The sequence below is a fragment of the Homo sapiens genome, chromosome 5 (genome assembly GCF_000001405.40).
Source record: "Homo sapiens chromosome 5, GRCh38.p14 Primary Assembly".
NCBI lineage: Eukaryota > Metazoa > Chordata > Mammalia > Primates > Hominidae > Homo > Homo sapiens.
In genome coordinates, this window is record NC_000005.10 from 159,331,371 (window position 1) to 159,345,580 (window position 14,210).

At 45.1% G+C, this 14,210-nt stretch overlaps 1 long non-coding RNA gene across 1 annotated transcript in view; it reads left to right on the forward strand.

Moving 5' to 3' along the window:
* IL12B-AS1 (IL12B antisense RNA 1) overlaps nucleotides 148–14,210 on the forward strand; it is a 31,317-nt gene continuing 17,254 nt past the window's right edge. Inside the window, exons 1-2 of the long non-coding RNA NR_037889.1 lie at nucleotides 148–670; nucleotides 1,412–1,633. This is a non-coding gene — a long non-coding RNA (IL12B antisense RNA 1). The remainder of the gene's footprint in view (nucleotides 671–1,411; nucleotides 1,634–14,210) is intronic.

The following is a 14,210-nucleotide window of genomic DNA, read 5'->3' on the forward strand; positions in this document are numbered from 1 at the left end:
AATTTCAAGTTGCTAAGAGGTATGCAAAGGTGTACACCGGTGTGGACCCCCCCATCCCCCGCCCAGTCTGCACGTGAACAGGAACATGTACCTGCACGTATACCAGGTACACGCAGACAGATGCGGGCCATCCCCAGAGCCGCCGACAGAGGTCGCTGCGAGACGGTACCCGCGCCCCACAGTCCACCCGCTCCTCGGAGTCCCCCCGCGCCCCGGAGTCCACCCGCGCCCCGGAGTCCACCCGCGCAGGTCCACTTCTCCATCCCTGCTCTCGACCTCCGCCCCTGCGGTGGGGGAAGTTCCTGGGGCGGTGGCTGGGACCAGGCCGGGTTTTAGGCGGGCGCAGATTTCCGGGCTAACTTTCCTCGCCGTCTCAGCGCGGGAAGGGGGAAATGGGAAACCCGGGCCAGAGCAGCGGAGCTTCCCAGCCGCACACTTCCTCCCTCCAGCCGTTTGTCTCGGCAGGGGAGGGCCCAGGCAGCCAAGCCGGCAGGCCCACTGGTTATCCGACCTTGTGCTCTGGCCGTGGGTGGAGACCTTACATCCAGCTCAGAGCGCCTCCTCCCATCCCCTGTGTCCTCTAGGCCTCCCCAGACTTTGCCTTTTAGCCTTCCAGTGAAACAAGTTCTGTATCCAAGATATACAATTAAGTGGACAAAGCAGATTGCAGGTATGTTTTTTCGTATGATACCATTTGTGGGGTGTGTGTGCGTATGTGTGTAAGTGCACCTGCACTTTTCACAACTGGTATCTCTGAGGCATATGTAACAACTGGGGGAGGGGCTTTTTGTAAACATGTATTAATTTCCTCCGATCCATCACTAAAGTGTACTGAACAGAAATTGACGTGAAGTAGTTTCACTAATTTATTTACAGTGGCTGCACCACCACAGATGAGTCCTTGTGCCCCCCCATAAATAAATACATGCATAAAATAAGACAAGTAAGGTTCAAAATGACACAAATATTTTATTCATGTGTTCGTAAAAGCACCTTGAAAATTAAAAAAAAAAAACTGTAACGTAAAGTCTCAGTAAAAATCCAGCGCCAGTTATGCAAAAGAAGCTTCGAAGTATGCCCTCATCCTCCCTTTTCCGCTCAGATTGCAGCCCGAGGGCTAGTCCTATATGAAAGGGCCCCCAGTGTTCACCTCCACCAGGGACAAGTAATAGGGTTTTAAGAGCATGGGCTCTGGAGTTAGAGAGCTGGATACCCGCACCTGCAAGTTACTTACCTTCGTTAAGCCTCAGTTCCTCACATCTGTAAAATCGGGTTAATAATAGTACCTGATCTCAGGACTGGTGTGAAGATTAATGAGATATGATGGGATGCAGTTAAAGCAGCATCCTGGCTAAACGTTTAATGAATGGCTGCTTGCACTTATTTATTTTTTTATCCTGTCGTGTCCCAGAAAGTCTTTTCGTAGCTCACAAGGGGACATCAAAGATGACAAAGAGGAGTGGAAGAAGACAGAGAGAATCAATGTGAGGAGCCTGGAACAGGGCTCTGAATTGTCTTCCCACAGTGAAATCACTTGTCTATTGCTGAGCCAAGAATTTGACTCTGAGCATCTAGGATGAGAAAGAAGAACTGGCACCTACGCCATCTCTGCCCCTCGGGACTGACTATTTTGGTAAGTTCAGTTCACCCATGGAGGAAGTGGTTCTCGTACTTTATCTGCATGTAACAACAAAATTCAGGTTCTTGGGGCTGATGCTTGGAGATTGTGATTCAGATCTGGGATGGGGCTCAGGAACCTGCATTTTAACAATGGAGGTTCTAATGTGGTCATTGGCAGGTTGTTCTAATGTGGGGGCCACATTAGAGCCTCTCTCGGAGACAGGCTGTACATGGCCAGCCAGCATTCTGGTAATATGAGCCAAATGCCCATTGACCTAATTTTGGAGAAGAGGTTTATCAACATGTCCCACTTCACAATCCAGACCCTGATCCCAGGCAAAATAAACTGATACCTATAAGCTTTCTATTGCTTACCCTATGGGCGAGGAAGGTCTGCTGACAAACAGAGGGCGTGCTGAGCTGCAAGGTTAATGTGTCTGATGATTAAGCTGTGACATGGAGGCAACCCCCTAAAAACCAAAAATAACTTAAAGAATTTTTTTGGCCACAAAAACTTATTTTCTCCTAGAAGAATGCTTTGATCATCTAGTACACATTTCAAATAAAGGAGAAGCCATGTGTACTTATAAAAATTAAAATCTTAGAAAATTACATAAGCAATACATGCATGCATGCTATTGTAAAAACTTCAAACAATACAAATATACATAGAATACAATGTTGAGGCCCTGATTCCTGTGGCTTCCAGAGGTTACCAGTGCCAGCATTCCTGCAGAGCTTCTGAATGCTTCTCTATGTATTTATATCTATCTGGCTATATAAATGGAATCATACTATACATATTGTTCTGCAAGTTGCTCTTTTCTTGCAACAGTCTATTTTGTATTCAGTCACTTGCAGTGACTTGCTAGAGGTCACTTGAACAGATTTCACGTCTGCATCAATTAGGTTGCCCTGGGCTTAGTTTTCTAAGGAGCTCTGCAGTTCCAGGCATCAATCCACTAAGGACTGATAACACCTGGGATAAGAAAAGACTATCTTGTCCTGTTGATGTCTCTTAGGAGCAAATAATTTGCCCTACAAGCTCCATAGCCTTTTCATGAAGTCTCACTTATCACCTGTATACCACTCCCTGACAAGGAGAATGGGCTTATTACAAGGAAAGTGATAGACAAGGCAGGTTTGCCCTACTAGATGGAAAGTGGTAGGCCATTGAGAGTCATGAAACCACCCTCACAGGGTTGACAAGAATTGCATGCTGGGTTCTGGACAGGAATATAGTTATAATTAAGCATTGATTAGGTTGCACGTTGGCCCACTTCCTTGTTGCTCAAAGTCACGTAGCACTAGATCCTGACCATTTGCATCTGCATTATTCCTGTAGATAGGATTTCTGACATTAGGGTCATAAGATTGTGTAGGAATTGATTTGTATCCCTATTGTTCCTTTAGATGGGATCTCTGACATTACAATCAGAACGCTTTTGTTTAAGAATCACTTAAGTTGTTTTTCAGGTCCCCAATTCTACCATATTTCAGTTTGAAAACCCCCACAAAGAAAGGGGATCAGGTTGAAAATACAGCTTCACCCTGTCCCATGACTTCACCATGCACTCTTCAACCAGTCAACCATCTCCAACACATCAGCCCACTCCCAAACTCTTAAAAACCCTAGCCCCAAATGCCACAAGGAGATAGATTTAAGGTTTCTTCCTGTCTCCTCATTTGGTGACCCTACGATTAAACCTCTTTCTCTGCTGCAACCTGGCCTCTCGGCGTATTGACTTGCTGTGTGCAATGGGCAATGAACCTATTATGGATACAGTCACATGTGTCTGTTACATGAGTCCAAGTGATTTGTGCGGCCAGTGAAGTGCAGAAATAGGGCAATTGTGTGGATAATGAAAACTAAGGCTTCTTCCCCCAAATGGTCAGTTGCTTTTGAAGGGATACTTCTAGCCTAGGAGTATGGGAAGTAGCTTCTACCTCCTGCCTCATACATACATGCTCTTACCAAAAGAAGAGTGGAAGTGTCACGGCAGATAGCTAGTCAGACATGAGCAGGGCAGAAGAGGGTTCCCCCGCCACTCCCCGCCCACCACCACTAGGAATGTCAGGCAACCATCAGGTGAGGGTCAGATGGTTATTAAACTGTTTCTCTAAAATAATAATTGGTCACAGCTGGTACCAGGGAAAGGCAGTCTCCCAATAGATAGAACACCTGAAGCTGGTGATTAGCAGCTTCCGGATAAGATCTTAGGAGCTGGGCGAATGGGCTTAAGCATGAGCACTAGGAGGGAAAATGGTCGAATTTAACTGGTGTATGAGCTTCTTCTAAGAACACTCAACTAGTAAGGGAAGAATGCCTCAAGTGAACATGCGTACAATTTCAGTAAACATACTGTGTATGTGGCCCCTCCCAAGTGCTGGCAGGCCACCCCAAGAGAAGAATCAGGGGAGAAGGGAGGCAACCCCCCAGAAGCATGCCAGCATATGCAACCCCAAATCAAAGGTTAAACCATACACTTGAATCTCTCAAGTCACCCTCCCTCTTCCAAGTGTACTTCCTTTTGTTCCTGCTCTAAAACTTTCTCTTTTTTTTTAACTTTTTTTTTGAGATGGAATCGTGCTCTGTCTCCCAGGCTGGAGTGCAGTGGCGCAATCTCGGCTCACTGCAACCTCCACCTCCTGGGTTCAAGCCATTCTCGTGCCTCAGCCTCCTGAGTAGCTGAGATTACAGCTACCACGCCCGGCTAATTTTTGTATTTTTAGTAGAGATGGGGTCTCACCAGGTTGGCCAGGATGTTCTCGAACTCCTGACCTCAAGTGATTCACCCGCCTCGGCCTCCCAAAGTGCTGGGATTACAGGCATGAGCCACTGTGTCTGGCCTCCTGCTCTAAAACTTTTTAAATAAACTTTCCCTCCTGCTCTAAAACTTGCCTGGGTCTCTCACTCTGTCTTAAGCCCTTTGGTCAAATTCTTTCTTCTGAGTAATAGGGACAGGAGACAGAGAAATTCTAGGCAGAAAAGAGTGGGGGTTTTTGGCAAAGACCCACCCTCAAGCCTGGTGCTGTGGCCCAAAGTGAGAACATGTAGTCCTGTTTTCCCACTCCAATGTTGCCGTTTCCCAAACCACCCATGGCCCACCCTGCCCCCACATTCTGCACCCATAAAAACCCCAGGCTCCACTGGCAGAGAGCAGAGAAGGGGAGGAGAGAAGAAGCAGCTGAATGCTGGAGAGAAGCAGTTTGACTTCAGAGGGATGACTTGACAGCAGGACTTCAGGGGAAGAATACCTTCCCGGTCCCTCCCCTTTCCACCTCCCCTTCCTGTGGAGAGCCACTTCCACTGGCAATAAAATCCTCCACATTCACCGCCCTTCAATTCGTTCATGCAACCTGATTTTTCCTGGACACCAAACGAGATCTCAGGTGCCATGGGTGAGGATGCTAAAGGCTGTCACACTGACCCTCTGCCCTTGCAAAAAGGCAGAGGGTTCACTGAGTTGTTAAACACTTAATCCAACCATGGATAGCAAAGCTAAAAAAGTGCACTGTAACATATGTCCTGTGGGGCTGCAGGGGTCATGGGTACTCCACCCTAGATGCTGCTGTGGGGCCTGCACAGAGTTTTGGTCCTGCCGGTGCCCAAAAGCATTTGCTCTGGCTCTTGCACCTGCTCACCTGTGTGCTGCCCCCCCGCCCATGAGGGGTTGAGAGCTGTGGACTGAGTAAGTGAGGCATTCCTGTCAGGAGGACTCTGAAGGGGTCAAGGAAAACCTCATGTTTCATGAGGAGGCAAGAACTGAGGTTAGTTCACCACCACTAACATACTTTGGTGCCACGTGATTTTGGTGCCACGTGACTTAGATACATTCCCTAGTGGTAACAGAAGGTTCTAGAGCACAAAATTTAACAGTGTATATATGAGTGGTATGAGGGCGAATTATTTTTGTTTTCTTTTTAATGATCTCTTAAATTTTCCAGAATGTCTACAATGACCTTGTATTACTTTTCTAATCAGAAAAAAAGAAAAAAGTTACCGAAGAAGAGATAAGTGAAGCACACACAAAAGGCAGAATATATAGTGCATCAAGAATGTGTGTTTTATAATCTGACAGACCTAGTTAGACCATAGTCCATATTTCAAATATAATTACATGTGCTCATAGCTGAGAACCTTCTCCTGGGATGGATGCATTTCACCAGGTCACTGCTGAAATGTTGTACTTTTATGGATGGTGATGAGGAAGCATCTGTTTTAGGTGTGGTATTTCCTGGAGGCAGAAAACTGCTTGAGTTAGCTCATTCAGTTTTTCAGTGGCCTTTCTAATGCATGTTTTGTTTTGTTTTAATGCTTTGCAAAAGATTCCTAGAGTGGAAATTGCCTTTGCAAAAATTATAACAGTGAGAAAATTATGACAGTGAAAGGGATCTGCCCTAACTGTCCCCATCTTGCTTCTGGGTATCTTTGCTCATTCCTGGGTGTGGGCCAAGCTAACTTTGGGAGAAATTTAGTTAAATTATAATGGCCCTTCCCAGATACTAAATTGCCCTTGTAAAACTAATGAAAGGCCACCAAGTTAGGAGGATGAGAGGGGCCTGAATTCTGTTAGGAAGTATGCCTAGCCAGCCATTACTTAGGAGGAATAAAGATTTGCAACTTCCCCAATTACTCCAGCAGATAACATCACTATTTTAGAATCTAAGACTGGCCTTTGGAGATGTCTTTTCAGGTTTTTGCATTTCTGACAACCGGATGGGCCCCACCCAGGAACTGACTCAACACAAGAAGACAGTTTCCACTCCCTATGATTTCATCTCCAACCCAACCAACCAGCATTCCTTACTCCCTGGCTCCCTACTCACCAAGCTATCTTTGAAAAACCACTAACCTCTGAGCCTTCAGTGAGACTGATTTGAGTGATAATAAAACTCCAGCCTCCTGTACAGCCAGCTCTGCATGAATTAAACTTTTTCTCTGTTGCAACTCCCCTGTCTGGATAATTCAGCTCTGTCTGAGCAGTGGTTCAAGGAGAACCCGCTGGGTGGTTAGAATCAGCTTCACTTTCAAAGGGCCTACAATGTCCTCATTAATTTCTTCCCCTTCAAAGATGACTGTGATCACATGTTTTCAATATCGTCCTTCCACCCTTGGCCCATGATAAGGGCAGAGGGTGGTAGATGCAGTCACTACTGAATTTCATTATCCCAGTGGGCATTTTTGGCCTGCTCAACTGGACTGACTGCAGAGCAAGTGTTCCACCTTGACCTTGATTTTGCCATTTGCATATGGAAACCTTTTTTTTTTTTTTCCTTTCTAAATTCAACTCTTTGGTAATCCCAGTGAAAGAAATGGGTGTGTGGGCAACTGGAAGGAAGTGGGTGTGTCCTAGGTTGTAGGATTGCTGAGATGTAGAAATGCTTATGCTAGAAAGGTATGAGAACAGTTGGTCTGGTCTTGCTGTTAGTAGAGACAGATAGAACAAGACAAGGTGGGAACAACATGGAGTGGGCAGATGTTTGTGGTGAAGTCCTGGCATCTATTGTCTGAGGGTCCCCTATCAACATCACCTCCAACCAACAATTATTGAATATTAACCAGCATCCCCTGCATTTATAGGATGAATTGTTAAAGCACCATCCAATAAAGTACATTACTGCTGCTACTCACCCTAGAGCACATAGAATTCTCCTGGAGAGAAATAGATTGACCAAAAATCGGGGCCTGCAATTTGGAGCATCTTCCTTTGTGACAGTTGATTTGGGACTCACATTTAAGGCGCATTTGTTTCTCCATTCACAGAAAATTTATATTAATATTCATCAGGCTTTTATTGTATCTTGTTCTGGAAATCTGCTCTGGAAAATAACTATGACCCCTGGTCTTCTGCCCTGTCATTTTCTCTCTAATTTTTGGCTTTGAAAATTTATCTGTCTATCTGTCTATCTATCTATCTATCTATCTATCTATCTATCTATCTATCTATCTATCTTTATTCTTGATGGTACTTTAAAAAAGTAACTCATGCCTCTAGTTTAAAATAAACTATGCTGGGCATGGTGGCTCACACCTGTAATCCCAGAGCTTTGGGAGGCTGAGGAGGGAGGATTGTTTGAGGCCAGGAGTTTGAGATCAGCCTGGGCAACATGGCGAAAGTCCACCTCTACAAAAAAATTTAAAAAATTAGCCAGGTGTGGTGGCACATGCCTGTGGTCCCAGCTGCTTAGGAGGCTGAGGCAGGAGTATCACTTGAGCCCAGATGGCTGAGGTTACAGTGAGCTGTGATTGGACCATTGCACTCCAGCCTGGGTCACAGAGAGAGACTCTGTCTCAAAAAAAAAAAAAAAAAAAAAAAAAAAGTCAAATAGTACAAAGGTTACTAAGTGTGTCTATCTTCTTGAGGTGCCTCCCTGGTCCCCCAGTGTGAAAGCTGTGTATACCACAGATCCAAATCAAGCTGTCCCAAATACCCTTCAGACTTGGTGATGATCTTCTAGTCATTTTACTTGAACATGGAACAGCCAAATAGACAGAAACCCAATTTCATTTATGTGTTTTAGTAGGTGAGAGATGTTCCTTTTAGACCTGGGGAGACAGAAAGAATCTTAAGACCTTGGCACTGTCACCAGCCAGTTACACTCCAGTTAAGGAGACTTGACGAAGCATGAAAGTTAAATAGTGCCAAAGACAAAAATATGGCAAGGTGGGGTTGATTAGTCACCAAAGGAATTTACATCAAAGGCATTACCATGTTTGTTATGTAGGTGCCAATAATAATGAAATGCCACTCTACGGTATTTGGGAGGCCAGAAAATTTAACAAAAAGGAAAGTGGCATCCTCAGTCTTATTGGAGGCAGCAAAGCAAACAGACACTGGAGATGAATGGTCTTGGGTTTGGGTCCCAGCTCTGTTCTACTAGCTGAATGATCTTGGGCAAAGTACCTCAATTCTCTGAGCCTCATTTTCCTTATAAGATGGGACTACTGATAATATCTACCTCAGAGAACTGATAGAAGGATTAAGTTACATTTGGCATAGAAGATGGATCAATATATGGTAACTCTTATTAAAATTAAATAATATAAAAAAGAATGTGTTTGGTTGCCAAGGGAGTCTAGTCTTCCAATGTAGCAATAATAAGTGTATAACACAGCAAAATTTCATCTTTATTAGATTGCTTGTTTAAGTAGATTTTTTTTTTTTGAGACGGAGTCTCTCTGTGTAGCCCAGGCTGGAGTGCAGTGGCTCGATCTTGGCTCACTGCAAGCTCCGCCTCCCGGGTTCACACCATTCTCCTGCCTCAGCCTCCCAAGTAGCTGGGACTACAGGTGCCCGCCATCACGCCCGGCTAATTTTTTTGTATTTTTAATAGAGACGGGGTTTCACCATGTTAGCCAGGATGGTCTCGATCTCCTGACCTTATGATCCGCCCGCCTCGGCCTCCCAAAGTGCTGGGATTACAGGCGTGAGCCACCGTGCCCGGCCTAAATAGCTATTTTTAATATGATAGAATATGTCCTGAGCACGTACTTTGTGCTAGGTGCTCTGCCCCAGTAGAAGGAACACTGCCCCCACCAGTAATGTGCTCACAGTATTCTAGGGGGCAAAAGAAAAAAAAGCTAAGAGGCAATGACATGGCAGTGTGACACGCCTTGCAATGACAATCACAGCAAGGGTGCTTTAGATGCACACACATCTTCGGGGTGGCGGTGAGGGAAGGTTTTCCAGAATAGATGATGTCTAAGCTGAGATCTACCAAATGGGGGGTTGACCTCAGCAACCACAGTAGTAGACTTTTTGGGTGTGCTTCCTGTGGACCAGTTACTGTGGTGTGTGTTTCATGTGAGTTTTCTCATCTCGTACTCACAACAAAGCTATGAGGTGGAAATTATTCTGCCCACTTTACTGGTGAGGAGACTGAGGCTTAGAGATGTAAAGCTAACTTTCCATGAAAAATGTAGCTAGTAGATGGAGAATCTGGGATTGAAACACATCACGTGTTTGAGTCCATCAGTACCATCTGTCTTGTAAGACCATCCTATATAAAATTTATAAAGTGACAGCAAATCAGGTTAGCAGAAAAGACATTACCCTTAGCTAGGCCATCTATAGGAAGCCAGTGGGAGAAATGGTTTTCTAAGATGTGGGTATGCATGAAATAGGAAGTGTAGATAGCGCTTGGGGAGGAGAGTGATGTGATTCCAGGGGGTTGTGAAAATGAGGCATCCAGACATGAGGATCAGGTAGGGGAGAGGCTGGGCGAAGGAGACCCAGGAAAGAGAGCAACAGTAACTAAGGTGTGGACAGATGAAGGCTGGTACTCATGCTTCTTCCCACTGCAAGAAGAGGAGCCATGTGTCATTTCCTCTCTGTGACTGTGAGCAGCCCTTGGCCCCTGGAACTCCCCAGGTACAACCGGAACAACATCATGGTGCACTGGGCTTACTTTTAAGCCTAGAACATGAAGAGAGCTGGTTAGAAGGGGACAAGCAAAGGACTGGAAGGATTAGGCACACACATTCCACCATGTGCTTGGTGCCATAGAGCAGTTTGAGTCTAGACAAATTGACAGTCACTGCCTAACATTCTCCATTTCTGTTGTCCAGCTGGATAATCAAAGTTCCATAACAGATTCTTTTTGGTTTTAATCATGAGTTGTGTGGGGGACACCAATGGGGCTAAGAATTAATTGTCCATATATCATTTTTTGAATTGAGCCTTTTATTCTAAAACAAGCAAGAAGCATTGGACCTGTCAGTTTCTGAGGCAGAAACTTCCTCTCAGAATGGTGTGTGGGCATTCATGGGATAGTCCTTGAACACTGTCCTTGTCCTAATAAAAGCAGCTTACTTTTATTTAGAGTGCTTGTTTCTTGACAGATTTTACTTAAGAGCTTTATAGTTAGTCCTTTTAACAACCCTTTTCCAAGCAAAGACATGGCTGGTAGAGGCAGAATGAGTAACTTGCCCAATGTCTGCCAGCAAGGAGGTGGCAGAGCTGGGATTCTTGATCGCAAACACCGCCCTTGACTGTCTCTGCCTGTGGCTAGTGATGCAATTGTCCCACGTGTCTATCTGATGGGCTGTTTGCCAGAAAAGCCTTCTGAAATGCTTTGGGCTGCACAGGGCCCCAGTTAAAATGTGTGTATGATTTAAACTGACACTTGTTAACCTTGCGGTTATTTATTGAGTGACAATTACATATCAGGCACCCAGCTAAATTCTGTGAATGTAGTAAGCAGATCAGACCTGGACTCTGTCCTCATAGAGCTAAATAGATATGTGCAGAGGACAAAATGCTATGAAGGAAATGAATGGGTGGTGAGACAGAGAATCACAGGGGAGGGCTCTCTGATGAGGTGGCATTTAAGTTGGGACCTACAGGTGAACCAGGATGAGAATCAGTAAGAAGCCCCTACAATGGGAGAGGGCTTGGCGGGTTGGAGGAATGGAAAGGAGGTTGGTGTGACTTAAGCGCAGAGGAAAGGGAGAGATGCCCAGGGAGTCTGAGGCAGGTGCTGGCCGAGGCACATGGCTGCACAGGCCCCATGTAGTAGGCACATTTAGCACTGAAAATATGTAAAAGTCTCTGAGATGAAACAACCACGATAACCAAAACCAAGACCCAGGTATGCTTTGTCATAGGATCAGGTACCAATGAAGTTCTTGGGAGCTGTGAAACATGGCTGACTTGACCAGACCAGAAGTTTCCAAATCTTCCTTGGTCGCAGAACGCTTAGTGCTTCAGTAATTTTTTCATGGCATCTGTAGGCCAAAAGAAATACCAAATAGATTCATTGATTAACTAGTTAGGGTCAAATCGCTTAAAAGTCTTTATGTGCTAAAAACTTTGTATTGGCCATTTGAAAAAAAATGATACATTGAAACAAAAAAAATATTTTTTTGTATTCTGAAATCATCACAATTACTTACTCATGGGATGTGTGGCCTGCTGGGCACTGTGCAACTCCTTAAACTTTGGAATCAGAGTGGACACTGCCACCTTCATTTCCTGTTCCACACTGATTTCCTTGTGGCACTTGCTTTTTGTCACAGTAACTGCCAAAAACATGGCTTCCCCAAAAGATGCCATCACTGAAAGGAATATGACGTAATCTAATGTTGAAACCATGAACAACCCTGAGTTTGTGCAGTGTTCAACAGATATGGAGGATCCTGTCTTTCCCTTGGAAAATTTAAAATACCTCCCAACAGTCCTGTGAATTTACTATGCTACCCCAGGGTGACCTGGTAGAGAGTTTGGAACCACAGCTAGCCATAGTACTTTCAAACTACTAAAGTTAGATATCTCTTTGCCACCAAATCCCTCCTCAGGGCCATATGTGACCCTGCATTTTGTGCAGGGATTCCAGGAAGCAAAGTTGTCACTCTTTCTGGAAACTGTATCCTATTTGCCCAACCATCAATAGGGGTACCTCTGGAGTGCGAACCCAGCCTGGCTTATTTGAATAGAGGAAAGGAGGAAAGGGGTGAGTAACATGTACAGATGGTCAGCAGTAGTATGAAAGCATGTGAGGTTGAACCAAGAGGAAATGAGTAGGTGATACACAACCATAATTTTGGGGCCCTTGATGAAGAAATGAGTGCTGAAATTCTGAAGGGTTTGTTATTGTGCAGACCTGCAGTTAAGCTGGCTAAGCTTTAGGTGTTGCCTCTGCAGTCAGGAACATCCTGCCAGAAGGCAATTAAAGAGTGGAAGAGCAGAAATGCAGAGAAGGAATTCAACACCTGCTCCACCAGCACGTTCCTTGGTCGCTCTCGTCTGTTTCCCTAGCTGGATCACATTCTTGGTGAATGAGAGAAAGTATGAGGATTAATGAGCAGACCTGTCTTTGGGATACCCTAGAACCATGATGCAATGCAAATATCACAGTATCTCAAAGGACAGTAGCCAGTAGAGCCAGTTGACTTCAAGTCAGTTTAACTTTCTCTTTCTGCATAAAGTCATGTATGCAAATCATCTAGGATGGCTGAGATGCTGATGAAATGAGTTCCCATGGCAACTGGAAGATTATCCTTACATCATCTTTGTGATGAGCAAAGTTCAGTGAAGACCAGAGGGAAGTAAAATTCTTGCTTGTCACTGAACTTGGACTGTTTACTCAACCTCTATTGCTTGGTTTTCTCATCTATAAGATGAGAATAATACTGAGATGGGATTGTTCCCTTGACCTCCTCATGGGACTTGCAACATTGGTGACTTGTTTACTTGGCCACTGCACTCAAACCCCTTGCATGAGGGGGAGCACACAGGAGAGCAGGAGCAGGAGCTGGGGTGATTGCCTTTGGAAGCCATTAGGAACAAACTGTGTACCAGCCTGTGGCAGTGTCTAGGGGTTGTCCATGACCTCTGGAGCCCAAGGGGGCATGTGTTACAAACAATACTCTTTTAGCATTTGCTGTCCACAGACAGCTAAGTGTTTACCCGCTCAGTGGAGGGTTGGGGTGACAGCCTTTCACACCCTGCCCTCTTGATACCCAGGTTCTTGTCCTATGTCCAGGAAGAATCAGGTCACAGGGACTTGAAGGATGGTGAATGTGGAGACTTTATTGAGTGGTGGAGGTGGCTCTCAGTGGGATGGGGAGCTAGAAAGGGGATGGAGTGGGAAGATACTCTTCCTCTGGAGTTCAGCCATTCCTGGCCAAATTCCTCTCCAACCATAGTCTCCGATGTCCAGCTGCCTCTTCTACTCTTGATGTTCAGACACTTCTTCCCTTCTCTCCTTCTCTGCTGCACCGCTCTGCTCCTCTGCCAGTGGAACTTGGAGTTTTTGTGGGTACAGGGTGGGGAGGGAAGTGTGGCATGCCAGGGTGGTTTTAGAAAAGGCAACATTCGAGCGGGAAAACAGGGATGTGAAGTTCTCATCTAGGGCTGCGGGTCCAGGCTTGAGGGTGGAGTCCTTGCCATGGACCCTGCCCTCTTCTACCCAGTATTTCCCTTCCTCCTGTCCTTATCAGTACAAACCCAGACCTTTAAGTTGTTACAAGAAGTAATGATACTCACTAAGCCAAAACCATAGTGTCAGGTACTATGCTGATGCTTTATATACACTAGCTTATTTTATACCTAAAACAATCTTACAAGGAAGACATATTATAATCCCCATTGATATCTGAGAAAAATGAGGCACAGAGAGAACAAGTAAGTTGATATCAAAAATGGCAGGGCAGGGATAATAAGATACATCTAGTATAAGATTTGGTTGAGATTATGAGTATGAGATCTTAGCCCATTGCCTGCCCACAGCAGTACTCAGCAAATGCTAGGCTATTATTATTACTGTTATTTTTTGTTAATTCCATTACTGTTATTATTTGACCAGGGGAATCATCTTAGGCTTTATGGAGGAGTTGACATTTTCAATCAGCTTTGAGGGTGGGTAGGCTTTGGACAGACAGGGATGGGGCAGAAGAACATTCTGGACTATGGGCACAACAAGAGCTAAGGCTAGGAGGTGGGACTGTGTAACTTTGAGATGGAGAATAGGGAGGAGACCTCAAAGCAGAACCTTAGGCTCTAAGGGAAACAAGACAGAAGGATTCTGCTGACAAGACAGTAAAGTAGCCTGCTCATCTGGTGGTAGGCACTGTGTCAGCGTTCTAG